General features: G+C 40.4%; 1 protein-coding gene across 7 annotated transcripts in view; it reads right to left on the bottom strand.

The window, feature by feature from the left end:
• LMLN (leishmanolysin like peptidase) overlaps window positions 1–22,986 on the bottom strand; it is an 83,504-nt gene that overhangs the window by 16,975 nt on the left and 43,543 nt on the right. For all 7 annotated transcript variants that reach the window (XR_007095764.1, NR_026786.2, NR_026787.2 and 4 more), the window contains 3 exons: window positions 7,361–7,493; window positions 5,141–5,300; window positions 1,958–2,088 (listed from right to left, as the gene is read on the bottom strand). Coding sequence is in view for 4 of the 7 variants with exons in the window: in NM_001136049.3 (NP_001129521.3) it covers window positions 1,958–2,088; window positions 5,141–5,300; window positions 7,361–7,493 (424 nt within the window). In the remaining 3 variants the exon portion in view is untranslated. The remainder of the gene's footprint in view (window positions 1–1,957; window positions 2,089–5,140; window positions 5,301–7,360; window positions 7,494–22,986) is intronic.

Raw genomic sequence — 22,986 nt, 5'->3', positions numbered from 1 at the left:
CGCCCAGATCTTAGTCTCTAAACACCATACTCCATTAAAAGTAACTAGGGGCCTCTGGAGAAACGGTTAATTCCACGTCAGGGGTAGACAAAGAACAAAGTGAGCTTAGAATATCTTGTTACAGAAAGAAAAGAAATATTCGGCCAGGACTGGTGGCTCATGCTTATAATCCCAGCACTTTGGGAGGCTGAGGCAGGAGGATCAGTTTAGGCCAGGAGTTTGAGACCAGCCTGGTCAATTTTTGTACTAAAAATACAAAAATTAGCTGGGTATGGTGGCGCATGCCTGTGATTCCAGCTGTGCAGGAGGCTGAGGCACAAGAATCTCTGGAACCGGGAGGTGGAGGTTGCAGAGAGCTGAGATCGCACCACTGCACTCCAGCCTGGGTGACAGAGTAAGACCCTGTCTCAAAAGAGGAAAAATGAAAAAAAAAGTTAATTTTACATAAATTGTATGGTATGTAAAATATATCTTGATAGTGCTATTACCAGGTCAGGCAAAGTGGCTCATGTCTGTAGTCCCAGCACTTTGGGAGGCTGAGGCAGGTGAATCACATGAACCCAGGAGTTCAAGACCAGCCTGAGTAGCATGGCAAAAGCCTGTCTCTACAAAAAATAAGAAAAATCAGCCAGGTGTGGTGGTGTGCACCTGTAGTCCCAGCTTCTCAGATGGCTGAGGTGGGAGAATCGCCTGAGCCTGGGAGTTCGTGGCTGCAGTGAGCGTGATCGCACCATTGTCTCTAGCCTGGGTGACAGAGCAAAACCCTGTCTCAAAAAAAAACAGAAAAGAAGAAAAGCAGTTACCAAAAAAAACGTTAATTTGATAAGTAACTAATGATAAGAGTTAAATTTCCAGTTCTAAAGGTCCGTTTAGCTCTTGCAGCTGAAATGGCACAGGAATGCTGATTCTGCATTTCTCAGGCTTACGCTGTCCTCCCTGACATCCATTTGTAGGGTGCAGAAGATTCATTCCATTGGATGCTCCTAAGTCACAGAATGGCTACATCTTTATAAGTCCTTAATAAGGTGATGTCATATAATATCAGATGTGCAAATAAGATAATTAAGGAAATAGTAGGCGAGGCATGGTGGCCGCCATCTATAATCCCAGTACTTTGGGAGGCCAAGGCAAGAGGATTGCTTGGGCCCCGAAGTTCTAATCTAGCCTGGGCAACATAGTGAGACCTCTTCTCTACAAAAAATCAAACACTTAGTCGGGTGTGTGGTGCACACTGTAGTCCCAGCTCCTCAGGAGGCTGAGGTGGGAAGGTCGCTTGAACCCAGGAGGTAGAGGATATAATGAGCCGTGACTGCAGCAGCACTCCAGCCTAGCTGACAGAGCAAGACCTTGTCTCAAAAAAAAGAAAAAGAAAAAGGAAAAAAAATTGTAGTTTGCCCTTTTTGGATTTCTAATTACAAAGGAAAAAACACTCTATTATTAATCAGCAACTGATTTATTCTTTTTCCTTTATTTTTTGGAGACAGGGTCTCGCTTTGTTGCCTAGGATGGTCTCGAATCCTGGGCTCAAGCAATCCTCCTGGCTCAGCCTCCCAAAGTGCTGGGATTACAGGCGTGAGCCACCACGTCCAGCCTGATTTACTAATTCTTATAACCCATGAGGTCCTCAGACCTTTTGAAATAAAATTGACATGTTTTCCATTACAAAGTAATATTTGCTCAAGAACAAAATTACCTATTTACCATTACTTCCTCAGAATATATGCCCAGAAGTAACATTACAGTAATTACATATATATTTTTAAGAGGCACTTTTTCTAAAGAAATGACAATATTTTCATAAAACATAAGCATCCAAACTAATATTTACATAAACAAGATACAGTATTGATCAGTAAATTAATGACATAAAATATGAAAATATAATTTAAAATACAAAACCATAAAAGAGATAAAATCACATAATATTTGGCACAACTAATAACAAACATAAGCTTACCTGATAGCATCCGCTTCCCCAGTCTGGGTAACTCAGCTTCCTCTCACACTTCTCCATAACGAATGCTGATTTCTGAATTAGACAAACGGAATGAGGTCCATACTTTTCAGCGCCATAGTTCTTAAAAATTTCTGAGGCAAAGAAGAAAAGTCTCCTTAAAAATTGACTTTTGGCTCAAAGAACAAGAAACTGAACCATTCCATTTTTATGATTAAAAGTTGCTTTAAAAATCAGACATGTTTCATGGAAATTTTAAATTTAAAAAATTAGGGTAGGCTGGGCACGGTGGCTCACGCCTGTAATCCCAGGGTTTTGTGAGGCTGAGGTGGGCAGATCACGAGGTCAGAAGATGGAGACCATCCTGGCTAACGTGGTGAAACCCCGTCTCTATTAAAAACACAAAAAATTAGCCGGGCGCGGTGGCGGGCGCCTGTAGTCCCAGCTACTCGGGAGGCTGAGGCAGGAGAATGGCGTGAACCCGGGAGGCGGAGCTTGCAGTGAGCCGAGATTGTACCACTGCACTCCAGCCTGGGCGACAGAGAGAGACTCCGTCTCAAAAAAAAAAAAAAAAAAAATTAGGATCCACAGGGTTCCAAACTCACACTAGGTTCTTAATAAAGGAATTAATGGGAGAAAATTACTGCATCAGACACAAGGGAATAAAACTGGGCCCAACGTTTTCTAGGTTAAATATATAGAAGAACTAGCACTAAGAATCGTTAGATCACTAGACACCAAGATAAAATCATCTTCACTGGTGGTCTAAATAGGAGGCACCTCCAAATTACTCATGATAGGATGAGGCCAAGTGATTTATATAATGCAGACTTTTGGGGGGTGTTGCAACATTTGAAAACTTTCTTATATCTTCAACTTGTGCCACCTCCTGGAAGTCCACAAATATTAGGCTGGTGCAGAAGTAATTGCGGTTTTCGCATTACTTTAACGGCAAAACCACAATTACTCTTCCACCAACCTAGTAAGATGCTGATCTAATCTCACAGTATGCACAAACCTGCAGAGGAATGAAAGGCCTCTAATGGACAAAGGGACAAAGCTCTTAAACCCGAGCAGTAATTTGCTCTCTTTAGACTCTTTACAATAAGTTGTCTTTGGGGAAGTAGAGAGTTCAATTAGCCCATTTTAAAATATTATAAAGATAAGTGTTTTATGCCAGTTTTGATAAATCTGAATTATATAAGCTAAAAAATGCAAATTAGAATAAAACAGAATTCTTTACTTCTTTTGAGTATCAGAGTCTTTCAAAACTATAGTGATCAGTGTCTAAAATGGGGTTCAGGGCTGGATGTGGTGGCTCAAGCCTATAATTTCAACACTTTGGGAGGCCAAGGAGGAAGGACCGCTTGAGGCCAGGAGTTTGAGGCCAGTCTGGGTAACATAGCAAGCCTCATCTCTACAAAAATTTTTAAAAATTAGTCAGGTGTGGAGGTGCATGCCTGTAGTCCTGGCTCTGGGGAGTCTGAGGCAGGAGAATCACTTGAGCCCAGGAGTTACAGGTTACAGTGAGCTATGATGGTGCCACTGCACTCCAACTTGGGTGACAGAGTGAGACCTTGTCTCTAAAAATAATAATAATAATAATAATAAAACAGAATTCAGCAAACTGCAACCCTCAGGCCAAATCCTGGCACATTCATTCACGTACATACTGTCTGTAACTGCTTTCAGACGGTAACGGCTGAGCTGAATCAGAAAGCTAGAGACCTTATGACCCACAAAGCCCCAGATATTTATAATTTTCCCCGTTAACAAAAAACGTTTGCCAGCTCCAGCTCTAAAACAATAACATGTGATAGTACATCTCTGGCAAATCCATAACTGACAGATCTGTGCATTTCTTTTGCTTTAATATGGAACTGCTGAGTGGTTATAAGTTGTTAGGATATTTATTTATTTATTATTTTTATGTGACATGGGGTCTCACTGTGTTGCCCAGGCTGGAGTGCAGGGGCATGATCTCGACTCACTGCAAACTCCGCCTCCTGGGCTGCTCAAGCAATCCTCTGGCTTCGTCCTCCTCCATAGCTGGGACCACAGGTGTGCACCATCACACCTGGCTAATTTTTTGGATTTTTGATACAGACAGGGTTTCACCATGTTGCTCAGCTGGCCTCAAACTTCTGAGCTCAAGCAATTCACCTGCCTTGGCCTCCCAAAGTGCTGCGATTACAGGCGTGAGCCACTGCGCCTGGCCAGGACATTTATTGAATAGATGAATGATGGGGAAAAATGACTGCAGGAATCCAGTTACATCTGCCAAGTTTAAGAGTAAAAGGTAAGAATACAAAAATTTAGAATGTAAATGCCTTAGTCTGTAATAAAGTATGGAATGGGGTGGGGGTTTGGAGACTAGGTTAAAACTTCTGATGAACACAGAGAGAAAAACTACTTACTGCTCTTTCTTACATCAGATGTGAGAACATTTCTGTTTACAAAGGTAATTAGTATGAGCTGTAACTATTATTGCAGAATACCCAATTGCCATACTGTTTATTCCTTTGATATCTTGTTCATTTATATGTATTAAGAAGAAACAAATAATATGGTGGTATATCTTACTGGCCATGAGACAAGAACATTGTTTTGCTATCTGAAGAGTGACATGTTGCTTCTATCTTACATAAAATGCACATTCCCCACAAGAGGAAAAAGCAGCTTATCTGAGGTATTTTAATAAAAAGAGGATGGCATTGGAGGATCTTGCACTGACACAAATTTAACTATATCACTTAGTATCTATCCGCCTATCTGGGAAATACAGTAATATCTTCCTTATGTTTCTCATCATGTTTTCAGAAGAATAAAATGTTAAGAATGAAAGTGCTTTGCAAATGGAAAGTGCCGTGCAGCTAGAAGGTATGACCAAAATATAGCGTGTGTGCATGCATACGCGAATAATCCCTTCGATGGGTCAGGCACAATTGTAAGCACTTACTACATTAATTCATTTAATTCTCACAACTCTCTAAGTATTGCCTCCATCGTACAGATGAAGAAACAGGCAGGGAAAAGTTAAGTCACTTCTTACATATGGATAGCAGCTGAACTATAAAGCAAATTCAGACAGTCCTGCTCTAGGGTCTGTGCCCTTAACCACGATTCTATATTGCTAATACATAATTTTAATATGTATATAATACTTCATTTCACTAGCCGACTAACCTGGTTGATTTTCCAATATTCTACAATCTGAGCTGCGCTGATATTCACCACTTAAATGCCAACTGAATTCCTGACTGAAAGGGCAGTAGTCAGCAATTTCCACGGAGCCACCATAATAAGGCAAATCTTCTGCAGGTATTCCACTGAGTTCATCAAAGTACTGCAGAAAAAATATTGGGAAGACAAGAAAGTAAGAAACATTCTGTATAAAATTGAGGAAGTGCACAGGCAATTTCTCGCAACCCTTTAATGCCACATAACACAAGATACTAATGTACCTTTCTTCATCAATGGCACCAAATAAAGAACACAGTAATAAACCACCAGAGGAGTAGTTAAAGGTTGCTACAGTTTTACAAATAAGCAAGGTAAGTAAATGAGTCTTAAGTTATATATCATAATGTTAAATTAGACTAATGTTTTAACAGCATGTAGTTTTAATTACACTGAGCAAAAAGAAGTTTTAAGAGCTGACAAAACACAGAACTAATGCATAAAGTTACAACATTTTAAATAAATTTTTCAAGAGTTTTTAGGAGGCAGTTTATACGTTGTTTTGACAAACTTGAAAAAATTAAAATCTGAGAAAATAAATGAGATCATATATATAATATACTTTGAATACCAAAGGTACAAGGCACCAGATAAATTTTATTGTTCCTTTTTTTTAAAATTAATTTTATGGCCGGGCATGGTGGATCACGCCTGTAATCCCAGCACTTTGGGAGGCTGAGGTGGGCGGATCACCTGAGGTCAGGAGTTCAAGACCAGCCCGGCCAACATATAGTGAAACCCCGTCTCTACTAAAAAAAAAAAAAAAAAAAAAAAAAAAAAAAATACAAAAATTAGCTGGGTGTGGTGGCGCACACCTGTAGTCCCAGCTACTTGAGAAGCTGCGGCAGGAGAATAGTTTGAACCTGGGAGGCAGAGGTTGAAGTGAGCCGAGATTGCACCACTGCACTCCAGCCTGGTGACACAGCAAGACTCCATCTCCAAAAATAAATAAATAAAAATAAAATAATTGTATGTGTTTTCACACCCCTGGATGCACCAGATAAATTTTTAAAGATGTCACGTTTTCCACCAACTTATTGAGTTATATCACTATGCCTATGAATATAGTTACTATTTTATGGTATCTGAAGCATTCAGTGAGCTCACAAATATGTGTAGGAAGCTTAAAATTCAGCAGCTTTATTTTAAATTAGCTTCTGAGACATCATTTCTGACAAAAGGTTCCTTTATAAATGGCAGGTAAAGTTGAGGCTTTTTAAAGATAGCTTTGGCAACAAGAAACTTAAAGGTCATGGCCAGGCATATGGTGGCTCACGCCTGTAATCCCAACACTTTGGGAGGCTGAGGCGGGCAGATCACATGAGGTCAGGAGTTTGAGACCAGCCTGGCCAACATGGTGAAGCCCTGTCTCTATTAGAAATACAAAAAGTAGCCAGACATGTTGGCTCACACCTGTAATCCCAGCGCTTTGGGAGGCCGAGGCAGATGGATCACTTGAGGCCAGGAGTTCAAGACCAGCTTGGGCAACATGGCGAAACCCCAACTCTACTAAAAATATGAAAATTAGCCAGGCATGGTGGCTTGCAGCTGTAAACCCAGCTACTCGGGAGGCTGAGGCACAAGAATCGCTTGAATCTGGTAAGGGGAGGCTGCAGTGAGCTGAGATCTCACCACTGCACTCCAGCCTGGGCGACAGAGTGAGACTCGGTCTCGGAAAAAAAGATAAAAGATAAAAAGAAACATAAAGGTCAAATCAGAGATCCAGACAAGATATGTGGGACCATTTCCTTAATCTTTCAGATCCCATGAATCAAATCTTTTCCAAAGCAGGGTTTCCAAGTCTTCTAATTAACTGGATTGGAGTACTTAAGTTATTTTCTTTAAAGATTTCTTTTTCTGTGTAAATTAGAGGAATTTAAATAGCAAGGCTTTGGAAACAATTAGAAAACATAAACAGGTAAAAACAGATCAAATATTCAAATTATTCTTGCCATTATTATAAGACACTGCTAGATTTTAACTAAGTGCTATCAATTAGGACATTAGTTTTAAAGAAATGGAAGCATTATTCCATTTTTTTCTAACTTACAGAAAACAAACAAGGCCTTATAAATTAAGAATCTTAAGAGAATTTACTCTTTTAGTTAAAATGGAGACTACTTTTGAAAAGCTGATTCCTGAAACTGTGCCCCAGCCCTGTTCTACCTGGTATTCCTGTGGTAAAGGCTTAGGGAACTTCTGCAAATTACACACGGCAACTGCTCTCTGGTCCTGTCTGCAAGTTAGCTGCAGTGGGTTACTTCTGAGCGTGTCACAGTAAGGGCTCAGCATCTGTCTCCTGCAAACAAAGAGAAGTACCATGGTATCAAACTTTAAAGAAAATACTGCAAGTCCATTATACAGCCAACAAATGGAATTCCAGATCCTGGCCTAAAAATACAAACCTTCATAATTAACAAATGGGATTCTTGGAAAGAGATGGAGGCAATGTCCCCTCTGCCCTGCAGCTACAAAGAGTGGAATTTTCTCTGCTCAATAATCTGACAGTTTGTTTAACTGACCACCTTCACCAGACAATCTTATTTTCCTGTGCAAAATAAAGATTGTGTGAATATTCCTAATTGTTATCAACTTGTTCTGTTCCATTAAATGTAATCTTGAAAGTATAATTTGAAAAAAGGGCATGTAAATTATCAAAAGATATCAGAATCTGTTGCACTGTCTTGCAAAAATAACCTTCAAACAAACCTGTAATTCTTAGCAGTCATCAAACTGACAGTTGACGATATAAAAATTATATTAATATCACAATAGCAGCTTCATAGATAAAATCTCAGTATTCCTAAATAATAGAAATCCTATTAATACTGGTCTAACAAATTGTAATCGAATTATTGACAATTTTCCTCTTCTTCCACATATTTCTTAAGGAAAAAAAAGCCTGTATTAAATATTTCTTATTTTAAGGAAAATTGATGACTTGTCTTATTTAAATGAACATGGTGTCTCAGCATACATCTTTAGGGAGTTACAGCTTCCTAAGATGAAACACGTAAAATACTTGCCACAGTCTTCAGCAAATGGGAAGCAGCACAGCCTAACAGGAAAGCAAAGGCTTTGAAGTCGTCACACAGGTCTGGGTTCAAACACCAGCACCAGCCACACTTCTGTGGAATTTACTTAACTTTCCTGAGCTTCAACCGCAAAGCACTCAGTGCCTGGCACATGCAGGCTACTCAATAAATGTGATTTCCGCTGTTTATACCATTTTCGTAAAATCTTCATATAAGGCAATATTTTAACTTCCCATGATAAAGCTTCCAATGAATATGGAAGCTCATGTTCCAATAGTTGTTAATCAGTTACTTTCTTGATACCATGAAAGTCATTTCTGTTTTTTGTCTAAAACCAAAAGGCATATTATATTTACTTTAAATTATATAAAATGAGTTTTGGCTAAATGAATAAAGAGGAAAAAAGAAGTTAAAACTTAGTGATTTTAAACATTCCAAAGTTAGAGCTGTCTAAGATTCATGGCTTACAAATTCCAGAGAAGCACTGTCAAGAGAGCGGGAAAAGGTGTACATCTGTGCTGCCCAATATGGTAGCCACTAATCATGTATGTCACTTCAAAGGTGGCTAGTTAACTGAGGAACTTATTTATTTATTTATTTTGAGACAGAGTCTTGCTCTGTCGCCAGGCTGGAGTGCAGTAGTGCGATCTCGGCTCACTGCAAGCTCCACCTCCCGGGTTCAAGCAATTCTCCTCCCTCAGCCTCCCAAGTAGCTCGGACTACAGGTGTGTCCCACTACACCCAGCTAATTTTTGTATTTTTAGTAGAGACCAGGTTTCATCATCTTGGCCAGGATGGTCTCAATCTCTGGACCTCGTGATCTGCCCACCTCTGCCTCCCAAAGTGCTGGGATTACGGTCATGGGCCACCATGCCTGGCCCTGAGGAACTAAATTTTAAATGGTATTTAACTTTAATTTAAATATAAGTTTAACTACATGTGGCTAATGGTACCATATTAGACAGTATAGCTCTAGAGCCAATATTAACACCAAATGAGCTAGGCAGAGGAGTTGGGCGATTTATCAGTTTTAGTTGCTTCGAACATAGAAAGAACCTTACTTTAAGTAGGTGTAGATTCAAGTGATTCAAAGAAGTATGGCTCTGCCTACGCTCACTCAACCAATCCCTTCTCACCCTGGTTTCCCAACAATGGAGAAGAGTCACAAATGACGAAGCCCAGAAGTGCTTGAGAACAGCCACACTGGAATCTCTAACATACATACAGGCAGACTGGGTCTGTGATGTCAGAAGATGGCTTCTATCCTGTAAATGATTCTGAATTTCAATGCCTCACAAGTGGGACATTTGAATGACTGTGACAGGGGTCAGCAAACTCAACTCTTGGGTCAAATCCTGACCACAACCTGTTTTTTTTTTCCTTGTCGATTTTTTGTTTTTGAGACAGGGTTTCGTTGCCCAGGCTGGAGTGCAGTGGCACAACCATTGCTCACTGCAGCCTTGATCTTCTCGGCTCAAGCAATCCTCCCACCTCAGCCTCCCAAGCAAGTGGGACTACAAGCATGTGCCACCATGCTCATTTACTTTCTGTAGAGATGGGGAAGATGACAGGAACATGGCCATGCCCATTTGTTTTGCCTCTTGCTGTATAAAAGTAGAGGTAAGTAGTTGTGACAGAGACTGTAATAACCCTCAAAACCTAAAATATTTACTATTTGGACTTCAAAAAAAAACCTTGCTGACAGTGGCTTAAGAATCAAAGGACAGGAGAGAATTCAGGGGACCCACAGTTTTAGTTTTTAAGAATAAAGAAGTAGAAGTCCCTTCTGTTTCTGGTCTTAGGTGATGTTATAATTGGGACCAAAAGGGGAATAAACAGAGTTGCAACTGTTAACAGAAAAGTGAACAAACAAAAACCTCCCTAAGCTCTTGCAGCTGCAGTGTGAGTTACATACTTCCTTTGACACACCGGAACAGTGGTTCCCAAACTCCATTACACATAAAATCACTTGGGAATTTATTAAAACAAACTCACACAATGCTAGTGCCCGGCTCTCAGCACAGTCATGACTTAATTAGTAACTGGGGTATGGAGAGTTTTTCCAGTTCTGTAGACGATTTTCATAAGCAGCAAAATTTGAGAACTGGCAGGTCAACCTGTAGTGCAGGGGTAACAAGCTGGGGACACCCAGAGTGGTTGCCGGTGCTTCCGGCTACTGCCTATTATCTTCACATTAGGGTTACAACTCAGAGGTCAGACTCCTTAGTAGAAACTACAAGTGATTTAAATTGCTTTATGACCTAACCTAGGTGAGAAAAGATGAGAATAGTATTTTCTTTTCCTTTTTTTTTTTTTTTTTTTGTTTTTGCAACAGGGTCTTGCTGTCACCCACACTGGAGTGCAGTGGCATGCTCACAGCTCACCACAGCTGTGACCTCCTGGGCTCAAGGGATCCTCTCACCACAGCCTCCAAGTAGCTGGGACTACAGGGCCACGCCACCATGCCAGCCTAATTTTTTTACTTTGTAGAGATGGGGTCATGTTGCCCAGTCTGGTCTCAAACTCCTGGGCTCAAGCCATCTTCCCTCTTCCCAAACTGCTGGGATTACAGGTATGAGCCACCACACCACACCCGGCCCACCAGGGGAATTTTTTTTTAAATATAACAATAGAAATATCAGTACCACTTCTAATTCCTGGAAGATGGACTAGATGTGCTTTTCTCTATTCCCCCTTCTAAGTACAACTAAAAACCCAGACACTGTAAATTAAAGAAACAAAAGAAGACTCTGAAGGGTGGAGAGAAGTCAGACTAGTTAGGGGACTCTGAAGGGTACAGAGAAGTCAGACTAGTTAGGGGACTCTGAAGGGTGGAGGGAAGTCAGACTAGTTAGGGGGCTCTGAAGGGTGGAGAGAAGTCAGACTAGTTAGGGGGCTCTGAAGGGTGGAGAGAAGTCAGACTAGTTAGGGGGCTCTGAAGGGTGGAGAGAAGTCAGACTAGTTAGGGGGCTCTGAAGAGTGGAGAGAAGTCAAACTACTTAGGGGGCTCTGAGGGGTGGAGAGAAGTCAGACTAGTTAGGGGACTCTGAAGGGTGGAGAGAAGTCAGACTAGTTAGGGGACTCTGAAGGGTGGAGAGAAGTCAGACTAGTTAGGGGGCTCTGAAGGGTGGAGAGAAGTCAGACTAGTTAGGGGGCTCTGAAGGGTGGAGAGAAGTCAGACTAGTTAGGGGGCTCTGAAGGGTGGAGAGAAGTCAGACTAGTTAGGGGGCTCTGAAGGGTGGAGAGAAGTCAGACTAGTTAGGGGGCTCTGAAGGGTGGAGAGAAGTCAGACTAGTTAGGAGGCTCTGAAAGGTACAGAGAAGTCAGACTAGTTAGGGGGCTCTGAAGGGTGGAGAGAAGTCAGACTAGTTAGGAGGCTCTGAAAGGTACAGAGAAGTCAGACTAGTTAGGGGACTCTGAAGGGTACAGAGAAGTCAGACTAGTTAGGAGGCTCTGAAGGGTGGAGAGAAGTCAGACTAGTTAGGGGGCTCTGAAGGGTGGAGAGAAGTCAGACTAGTTAGCGGGCTCTGAACGGTGGAGAGAAGTCAGACTAGTTAGGGGGCTCTGAAGGGTGGAGAGAAGTCAGACTACTTAGGGGGCTCTGATGGGTGGAGAGAAGTCAGACTAGGTAGGGGGCTCTGATGGGTGGAGAGAAGTCAGACTAGTTAGGGGGCTCTGAAGGGTGGAGAGAAGTCAGACTAGTTAGCGGGCTCTGAACGGTGGAGAGAAGTCAGACTAGTTAGGGGGCTCTGAAGGGTGGAGAGAAGTCAGACTAGTTAGGGGGCTCTGAAGAGTGGAGAGAAGTCAGACTAGTTAGGGGGCTCTGAAGGATACAGAGAAGTCAGACTAGTTAAGGGGACTCTGAAGGGTGGAGAGAAGTCAGACTAGTTAGGGGGCTCTGAAGGGTGGAGAGAAGTCAGACTAGTTAGGGGGCTCTGAAGGATACAGAGAAGTTAGACTAGTTAGGGGGCTCTGATGGGTGGAGAGAAGTCAGACTAGTTAGGGGGCTCTGAAGGGTGGAGAGAAGTCAGACTAGTTAGGGGGCTCTGAAGGGTGGAGAGAAGTCAGACTAGTTAGGGGGCTCTGAAGGGTGGAGAGAAGTCAGACTAGTTAGGGGGCTCTGAAGGATACAGAGAAGTTAGACTAGTTAGGGGGCTCTGATGGGTGGAGAGAAGTCAGACTAGTTAGGGGGCTCTGAAGGGTGGAGAGAAGTCAGACTAGTTAGGGGACTCTGAAGGGTGGAGAGAAGTCAGACTAGTTAGGGGGCTCTGAAGGATACAGAGAAGTCAGACTAGTTAAGGGGCTCTGAAGGGTACAGAGAAGTCAGACTAGTTAGGAGGCTCTGAAGGGTACAGAGAAGTCAGACTAGTTAGGGGACTCTGAAGGGTACAGAGAAGTCAGACTAGTTAGGGGACTCTGAAGGGTACAGAGAAGTCAGACTAGTTAGGAGGCTCTGAAGGGTACAGAGAAGTCAGACTAGTTAGAGGGCTCTAAAGGGTGGAGAGAAGTCAGACTAGTTAGGGGGCTCTAAAGGGTGGAGAGAAGTCAGACTAGTTAGGGGGCTCTGAGGGGTGGAGAGAAGTCAGACTAGTTAGGGGGCTCTGAAGGGTACAGAGAAGTCAGACTAGTTAGGGGGCTCTGAAGGGTACAGAGAAGTCAGACTAGTTAAGGGGCTCTGAAGGGTACAGAGAAGTCCGACTAGTTAGGAGGCTCTGAAGGGTGGAGAGAAGTCAGACTAGTTAGGGGGCTCTGAAGGGTGGAGAGAAGTCAGACTAGTTAGGGGACTCTGAAGGGTGGAGAGAAGTCAGACTAGTTAGGGGGCTCTGAAGGGTGGAGAGAAGTCAGACTAGTTAGGGGGCTCTGAAGGGTGGAGAGAAGTCAGACTAGTTAGGAGGCTCTGAAGGGTACAGAGAAGTCAGACTAGTTAAGGGGCTCTGAAGGGTACAGAGAAGTCAGACTAGTTAGGAGGCTTTGAAGGGTACAGAGAAGTCAGACTAGTTAGGAGGCTCTGAAGGGTGGAGAGAAGTCAGACTAGTTAGGGGGCTCTGATGGGTGGAGAGAAGTCAGACTAGTTAGGGGGCTCTGAAGGGTGGAGAGAAGTCAGACTAGTTAGGGGGCTCTAAAGGGTGGAGAGAAGTCAGACTAGTTAGGGGGCTCTGAGGGGTGGAGAGAAGTCAGACTAGTTGGGGGGCTCTGAAGGGTGGAGAGAAGTCAGACTAGTTAGGGGGCTCTGAAGGGTACAGAGAAGTCAGACTAGTTAGGGGACTCTGAAGGGTACAGAGAAGTCAGACTAGTTAAGGGGCTCTGAAGGGTACAGAGAAGTCAGACTAGTTAGGGGGCTCTAAAGGGTGGAGAGAAGTCAGACTAGTTAGGGGGCTCTGAGGGGTGGAGAGAAGTCAGACTAGTTAGGGGGCTCTGAAGGGTGGAGAGAAGTCAGACTAGTTAGGGGGCTCTGAAGGGTACAGAGAAGTCAGACTAGTTAGGGGACTCTGAAGGGTACAGAGAAGTCAGACTAGTTAGGGGACTCTGAAGGGTACAGAGAAGTCAGACTAGTTAGGGGGCTCTGAAGGGTACAGAGAAGTCAGACTAGTTAGGGGACTCTGAAGGGTACAGAGAAGTCAGACTAGTTAGGGGACTCTGAAGGGTACAGAGAAGTCAGACTAGTTAGGGGACTCTGAAGGGTGGAGAGAAGTCAGACTAGTTAGGGGGCTCTGAAGGGTACAGAGAAGTCAGACTAGTTAGGAGGCTCTGAAAGGTACAGAGAAGTCAGACTAGTTAGGGGGCTCTGAAGGGTACAGAGAAGGCAGACTAGTTAGGGGACTCTGAAGGGTACAGAGAAGTCAGACTAGTTAGGGGACTCTGAAGGGTGGAGAGAAGTCAGACTAGTTAGGGGACTCTGAAGGGTGGAGAGAAGTCAGACTCGTTAGGAGGCTCTGAACGGTACAGAGAAGTCAGACTAGTTAGGGGGCTCTGAAGGGTGGAGAGAAGTCAGACTAGTTAGGGACTTCAGGACTCAAAGACTGATATGGTGGTGAATTCTCTCAACAACTGATAGACCAACTAGGCAGGAAATTAGCAAGGATATAGAAGAACCCAACATCATCAACCAACAGGACTTAACTGACATTTGTGCAACGCTTCACCCAGCGTCCGAATGTACACGGTGGCTCCCGCCTGTAATCCCAACACATTGGGAAGCCAGGGCGGGCAGATCAGCTGAGGTCAGCAGTTCAAGACCAGCCTGGTCAACAGAATGAAACCCCGTCTCTACTACAAATAAAAAAATTAGCCGGGCATGGTGGTGGGCGCCTGTAGTCCCAGCTACCTGGAAGGCTGGGGCAGGAGAAGAGCTTGAACTCGGCACCAGAGGCTGCAGTGAGCCGAGATTGCACCACTGCACTCCAGCCTGGGTGGCAGAGTGAAACTCCGTCTCAAAAAAATTTAAAAAATAAAAAAAACACTTTTTGATGGGGTTGTTTGTTTTTTTCTTGTAAATTTGTTTGAGTTCATTGTAGATTCTCGATATTAGCCCTTTGTCAGATGAGTAGATTGCAAAAATTTTCTCCCATTCTGTAGGTTGCCTGTTCACTCTGATGGTAGTTTCTTTTTCTGTGCAGAAGCTCTTTAGTTTAATTAGATCCCATTTGTCAATTTTGGCTTTTGTTGCCATTGCTTTTGGTGTACCATCTCACACCAGTTAGAATGGCGATCATTAAAAAGTCAGGAAACAACAGGTGCTGGAGAGGATGTGGAGAAATAGGAACACTTTTACATTGTTGGTGGGACTGTAAACTAGTTCAACCATTGTGGAAGTCAGTGTGGCGATTCCTCAGGGATCTAGAACTAGAAATACCATTTGACCCAGCCATCCCATTACTGGGTATATACCCAAAGGACTATAAATCATGCTGCTATAAAGACACATGCACACGTATGTTTATTGCGGCACTATTCACAATAGCAAAGACTTGGAACCAACCCAAATGTCCAACAATGATAGACTGGATTAAGAAAATGTGGCACATATACACCATGGAATACTATGCAGCCATAAAAAAGGATGAGTTCATGTCCTTTGTAGGGACATGGATGAAGCTGGAAACCATCATTCTCAGCAAACTATCACAAGGACAAAAAAACAAACACCGCATGTTCTCACTCATAGGTGGGAATTGAACAATGAGAACACATGGACACAGGAAGGGGAACATCACACACCAGGACCTGTTGTGGGGTGGGGGGAGTGAGGAGGGATAGCATTAGGAGATATACCTAATACTAAATGACAAGTTAATGGGTGCAGCACACCAACATGGCACATGTATACATATGTAACAAACCTGCACGTTGTGCACATGTACCCTAAAACTTAAAGTATAATAATAAAAAAAAATAAAAAACTTATATCAAGATAAGACCATATCTTGGGCCATAAAACAAACCTGAACAAATTTAAAAGAACTCAAATCATACAGCATATATTCTCCAAATACAATTCAACAACAAAAAATAACAGAAAAATTTCCAAATATTTGTATACTAAACAACACACTTCTAAATAATCGATGGGTCAAAGAAGAATCTCAAAGAAAAATTTTTAAAAATACATTGAACTGAATGAAAATAAAAATATAACATATTGGAATTTGTGAGATAAAGCTAAAGAAATGCTAAGAGGAAAATTTATAGCAACAAATAGCTACATTAGAAACAGGAAATATCTCAAATCAATAATCTCAAAAATCAAGATTAAGAAGAGAAAAATAGGCCAGGCACAGTGGCTCACGACTATAATCCCAGCACTTTGGGAGGCCGAGGTGGGCCGATTGCTAGAGCCCAGGAGTTCAAGACTAGCCTGAGCAATACAGTGAAACCCTGTCTCTACAAAAATACAAAAATTTAGCTGGGTGTGGGGGTGTGTGCCTGTAGTCCCAGCTACTTGAAAGGCTGAGGAGAAAGGTTTGCTTGAGCCCAGGAGGTCAAGGCTGCAGTGAGCCTCATGATCGCACCCATTGTACTCAAGCCTGGGCAACAGACCTTGTCTTTAAAAATAAAACAAAACAGAAAACGCTGGGCGTGGTGACTCACACCTGTCATCCCAGCACTTTGGGAGGCCAAGGCATGCAGATCACTTGAGGTCAGGAGTTCAAGACCAGCCTGGCCAACATGGTGAAATCCCTACTAAAAAATACAAAATTAGCGGGGTGTGGTGGTGTGCACCTGTAGTCCCAGCTACTTGGGAGGCTGAGTCGGGAGAATTGTTTGAACCCGGGAGGCGGAGGCTGCAGTGAGCCAAGACTGTGCCACTGCACTCCAGCCTGGGCGACAGAGTGAGACTCCATCTCAAAAAATAATCATCATCATAATAATTAAATAAATAAACCAAAAACAAGCAGTGGGAAAGATATAGCAGGGAGCAGAAATCAATGAATTTGAAAACAAAAAAACAATAGAAGACATCAACAATACAAAAAGCTGGTTCTTTAAGATCAGTAAAATTGGCAAACCTCTAGAAAAAGATAAAGAGAACATGCAAAATTACCAATATCAGGACTGAAAAGAGATATCACAACAGACCCCATAGGATGGATATCCCATCCTCCATGATGAGATTATTTCACAGTGTATGCCTATATCAAAATATCTCATTTACCCCATTAATATATACACCTAGTATGTACCAACAAAAATTACAAATTAAAACAGACCCTACAGATGTCAAAAGAATAATAATGGAATACTACAAAAAACCCTATACACATAAACTTGATAACTTAGACAAAATGAACCAATTCCTTAAAAAACATGTTACCACAATTCATGCACTATGAAACAGATGATAAGAATAGCCCTGTAACTACTAAAGAAGTTTAATTCACAATAATTCACAATTTTAAGACTTCCAAAAGAGAAATCTCCAGGCCCAGATGTTTCACTGGAGAATGCTACCAAACACTTAGAGAAGAATTAACACCAATTTTATACAATCTCTTCCAGAAAAATAGAAGAGGAGGAAAAACTTCCTAGTTCATTTTATAAAGCTAGTATTACTCTGATACAGAAACTAGACAAAGATGGTACAAAAAAGAACTTTTTTCTTTTCAAAGAAAATGATCAGAGATAAAGAGAGGAATTACAAAATGATAAAGGAATCAGTACTCTATGAAAATATAACAATCCTAAACATGTGTGCACCTAACTATAAAGTGTCAAAATATGTAAGTCAAAATGGATAGAACTGCAAGATGAAATAGATGAATCCATTATTATCACTGCAGATTTGAATATCCATTTCTCAGAAATGGACAGATGCAGCAGGCAGAAAATCAGTAAGGACACAGTTGAGTTCAACAGCACCATTAACAAACTGGATATAGCAGACTCTACAGACTACTTCAACCAAAAACAGCAGACAACAGATTTTTTTCAAGCTTACATGGTGCATTCACCAAGACAGACCACATTCTGGGCCATGAAACACACCTTAACAAATGTAAAAGAGAAATCATACCATGTTCTGCTCTCTTGCAACAATGGAATTAAACTAGAAATCAGTAACAGAAAGATAGCTGGAACATCTCAAAATAGCTGGAAATTAAACAAAGCACTTCTAAATTATACAGTGGTCAAAGAAGAAATCTCAAGAGAAAGTTAAAAATATTTTGAACTCAAAGTGACACAAGAGTTTTGAATTAAAAGAGAAAAATATTTTGAACTGAATCAAAATAAAAATAAAGCATGATAAACACCTCATCATATACTGGGATTTATTCTTCAGAGTATTATATAAATCATTTATTTATGTAGAGATGCCCAGGATGGAGTGCAGTGGTGCAGTCATAGCTCACTGCAGCCTTGAGCTTCTGGGCTCAAGTGATCCTCCTGCTTCAGCCTTCTGAGTAGCTGGGACTACAGGCATGGGCCACCATGCCCACCTCATTTTTGTATTTTGTTGTAGAGATGGGCTTTCGCCATGTTGTCCAGGCTAGTCTTGAACTCCTGGGCTCAAGCAATCAGCCTGCCTCAGCCTCCCAAAGTGCTAGGATTACAAGTGTAAGCCACCATGTCTGGCCATAAATAATAATTTAAATCAAGTCAATATTAAGTATGACAGGAGAGCCCATTATTTGCTCATTTAGTAATAATTATTATGTATTTCATAAATTTTCTTCTTACTATTATTTTTTAAATCTCTCTTACTGGAAGGATATACCTGTTTTTCAAAATGTGTCAGATTTGAAAAAGATCAAGTTTAACTGACATAATATAATTGTTCTGAGAGCCATACTGATTAATTAAAGGTAAAATAATTGGGGAAAAAAGAGAAAACTCCAGATCTATATTCGTCACAAATATAGAAACAAAAATCCACAACAAAATAATAGTACATAGAATTCAGCAACATACAGAAATAATTATAAGCCATCACCAAGTGGGGTTTACTCCAGGAATGCAAGGGTGATTTAATATTTGAAAATCAACCAATGAAGTCCACCATATTAACAGGCGAAAAAAATCACTTGATTATGCATAGCAACTAAAGTAGAAAGAGCATTTGACAGAAGGCAATATCCATTCATGATTAAAGCTCTCAGAAACACAGGAATAGACAGCTACTTTCTCAACTTGATAAAGAACATGTATAAAAAATCTGCAGCTAACATTATATTTAATAATGAAAGACTGAATGTTTTCTCCCATGTTTATGGATTGGAAAACTCAACACAGTAAAAATGTCAATTCTCCTCAAACTGACACACAGGGTTAATGCAGCTCCTAGCAAAATCCCTGCAAGTCTTTTGGCAGATACAGACGAGATAATTGTAAAACGTAGATGGAAATGCAAAGGAACCAAAACAGCCAGAACAATTTTAAAATAGTGGAAAGAATCAGTCTACCCAATTTCAAGACTTATTAAATAATTACAGTAATTAAGGACTGTGTGTTATTGGTGAAGGCATGGACACATGGATCACTAGAACAGAACGGAAAACACAGAAACAGATAGAAACAGATCACCACAAATACACCCAACTGATGGTTTCTGCCAAAGGCACAAAAGCAATTCCATGAAGGAAAGATAGCCTTTTCAACAAATGGTGCTAAAGCCATTGCCTATCTGTACACAAAGAAACAAACCTTGATCTAAGTCTCCCACCTTATACAAAACTTAACTCAAATGAATCATGGACTTAAATGTAAAGTGTAAACTACAAAACTTTTGAAAAAAACATAAGAAAACTTTCAAGATCTAGAGCTTGGCAAACACTTCTTAGACTTGACATCAAAGACACAGTAAGAGGACAAACTGATATTCTGGACTCCGTCAAAACTAAAAACATTTGCCCTACAAAAGCCCCTGTTAAAAGGACAAAAAGACAAGCTATGTACTGGGAGAAAATATTTGCAAACCACATATCTGACAAAGGACTACTACTACCCAAAATACCCAAAATACATGAAGAACTCTCAAAACTCAACAGTAAAAAACAATCCAATTAAAAAATTGGCTTAAGAGTGGCTCACGCCTATAATCCCAGCACTTTGGGAGGCTGAGGCAGGTGGATCACGAGGTCAGGAGTTCGAGACCAGCCTGGCCAACATGGTAAAACCCCATCTCTACTAAAAATTCAAAAATTAGCCAGACATAGTGGTACGTGCCTGTAGTCCCAGCTACTCTGGAGGCTGAGGCAAAAGAATTGCTTGAACCTGGGAGGCAGAGGTTACAGTGAGCCAAGATCGCGCCACTGCACTCCAGCCTGGGTGACGGAGCAAAACTCCATCTCAGAAAAAAAAAAAGACAAAGAGACAATTTGCCAAAGAGGATATATTATCAGTGAGTAAGCACATGAAAAGAGGTTCAACATCATTAGCCGTTAGGGAAACACAAATTAAAACCAAAATAAAATATCACTACGCTCCTATCAGAATCGATTAAACAAAAAATTGTGACAACGCCAAATGCTGGCAAAGATGTGGAGAAACTATATCACTTACACGTCACTGTCAGGAATTAAAAAGTTTGGCATTTTCTTACAAAACTAAACCTGTAATTACTTAATGAGCCAGTAACTGCATTCCTGGCACTTTTTCTGGAGAAATAAAGATATATGTTCACACACAAACCTGTACATAAATGTTCACAGCAACTTCATTCATAATAGCCCAAAACTGGAAACAATCCAGATGTCCTTCAAAGTGTGAATGTTTAAACAAACTGTGGTGTATCATACTGCGGAATATTAACCAGCCATGAAAAGTGAAATTATTGATACATACAACAACCTGGATGAATTTCCAGAGAATTATGCTGAGTAAAAAAAGCCACGCTCAAAAGTTCACATACAATATGAATTCATTCATGTAACATTTTTGTTGTTGCTGTTGCTTTCTCTTTTTTGAGACAGAGCCTCACTCTGTCACCCAGGCTGGAATACAGTGGTGCGATCTTGGCTCACTGCAACCCCTGCCTCCTGGATTCAAGCTGTTTCCTTGCCTCAGCCTCCTGAGTAGCTAGGGTTACAGGCGCCCACCACCACGCCTGGCTAATTTTTATATTTTTAGTAGAGATGGGGTTTCACTATGTTGGCCAGGCTGGTCTTGAACTCCTGACCTCAAGTGACCCACCCGCCTCGGCCTCCCAAAGTGCTGGGATTACAGGTGTGAGCCAGCCTGGCCAACAAGGAAAAATCCCATCTCTATTAAAATTACAAAATTAGCCGGGAGTGGTGGCGCACGCCTATAATCACAGCTATTCAGGAGGCTGAGGCATGAGAATTGCTTGAACCTAGTAGGTAGAGGTTGCAGTGAGCTGAGACTGCGCCACTGCACTCCAGCCTGGGCAACAGAGTGAGACTCTGTCTCAAAAAAAAAAAAAAGAAAAAGAAAAAGAAAAGAAAAATTCAGGGAAAAAATGATGGTTGCATCTGTACTGAACATGGGCACTTTTCTTCTTTGTCATTTTTCCCTAAACAATATAGTATAACAACTATTTCCATAGCATTTATATTGTATTATGTATTATAAATAACCCAGAAGTAATTTAAAGTATACAGGAGGATATACATAGGTTATATGCAAATACTATTCCATTTTATATAAGAAACTTTTACATAAGCATCTATGGATTTTGTTATCCAGGGGGGTCCTGGAAGCAATCCTCCATGGTTAAAGAACAACTGTATATATACATGTATGATATGTATCTGTATAGATGATATATAGATAGATGTCAAACTTACTACGTATGATATGTATCTGTATAGATGATATATAGATAGATGTCAAACTTACTACGTATGATATGTATCTGTATAGATGATATATAGATAGATGTCAAACTTACTACGTATGATATGTATCTGTATAGATGATATATAGATAGATGTCAAACTTACTACGTATGATATGTATCTGTATAGATGATATATAGATAGATGTCAAACTTACTACGTATGATATGTATCTGTATAGATGATATATAGATAGATGGCAAACTTACTACGTATGATATGTATCTGTATAGATGATATATAGATAGATGTCAAACTTACTACGTATGATATGTATCTGTATAGATGATATATAGATAGATGTCAAACTTACTACGTATGATATGTATCTGTATAGATGATATATAGATAGATGTCAAACTTACTACGTATGATATGTATCTGTATAGATGATATATAGATAGATGTCAAACTTACTACGTATGATATGTATCTGTATAGATGATATATAGATAGATGTCAAACTTACTACGTATGATATGTATCTGTATAGATGATATATAGATAGATGTCAAACTTACTACGTATGATATGTATCTGTATAGATGATATATAGATAGATGTCAAACTTACTACGTATGATATGTATCTGTATAGATGATATATAGATAGATGTCAAACTTACTACGTATGATATGTATCTGTATAGATGATATATAGATGTCAAACTTACTACGTATGATATGTATCTGTATAGATGATATATAGATAGATGGCAAACTTACTACGTATGATATGTATCTGTATAGATGATATATAGATAGATGGCAAACTTACTACGTATGATATGTATCTGTATAGATGATATATAGATAGATGGCAAACTTACTACGTATGATATGTATCTGTATAGATGATATATAGATAGATGGCAAACTTACTACGTATGATATGTATCTGTATAGATGATATATAGATAGATGGCAAACTTACTACGTATGATATGTATCTGTATAGATGATATATAGATAGATGGCAAACTTACTACGTATGATATGTATCTGTATAGATGATATATAGATAGATGGCAAACTTACTACGTATGATATGTATCTGTATAGATGATATATAGATAGATGGCAAACTTACTACGTATGATATGTATCTGTATAGATGATATATAGATAGATGGCAAACTTACTACGTATGATATGTATCTGTATAGATGATATATAGATAGATGTCAAACTTACTACGTATGATATGTATCTGTATAGATGATATATAGATAGATGGCAAACTTACTACGTATGATATGTATCTGTATAGATGATATATAGATAGATGGCAAACTTACTACGTATGATATGTATCTGTATAGATGATATATAGATAGATGGCAAACTTACTACGTATGATATGTATCTGTATAGATGATATATAGATAGATGGCAAACTTACTACGTATGATATGTATCTGTATAGATGATATATAGATAGATGGCAAACTTACTACGTATGATAT

This window comes from Homo sapiens, chromosome 3 (assembly GCF_000001405.40).
Source record: "Homo sapiens chromosome 3, GRCh38.p14 Primary Assembly".
Classification (NCBI taxonomy): Eukaryota; Metazoa; Chordata; class Mammalia; order Primates; family Hominidae; genus Homo; species Homo sapiens.
This window is presented reverse-complemented; position numbering and strand designations above follow the sequence as displayed.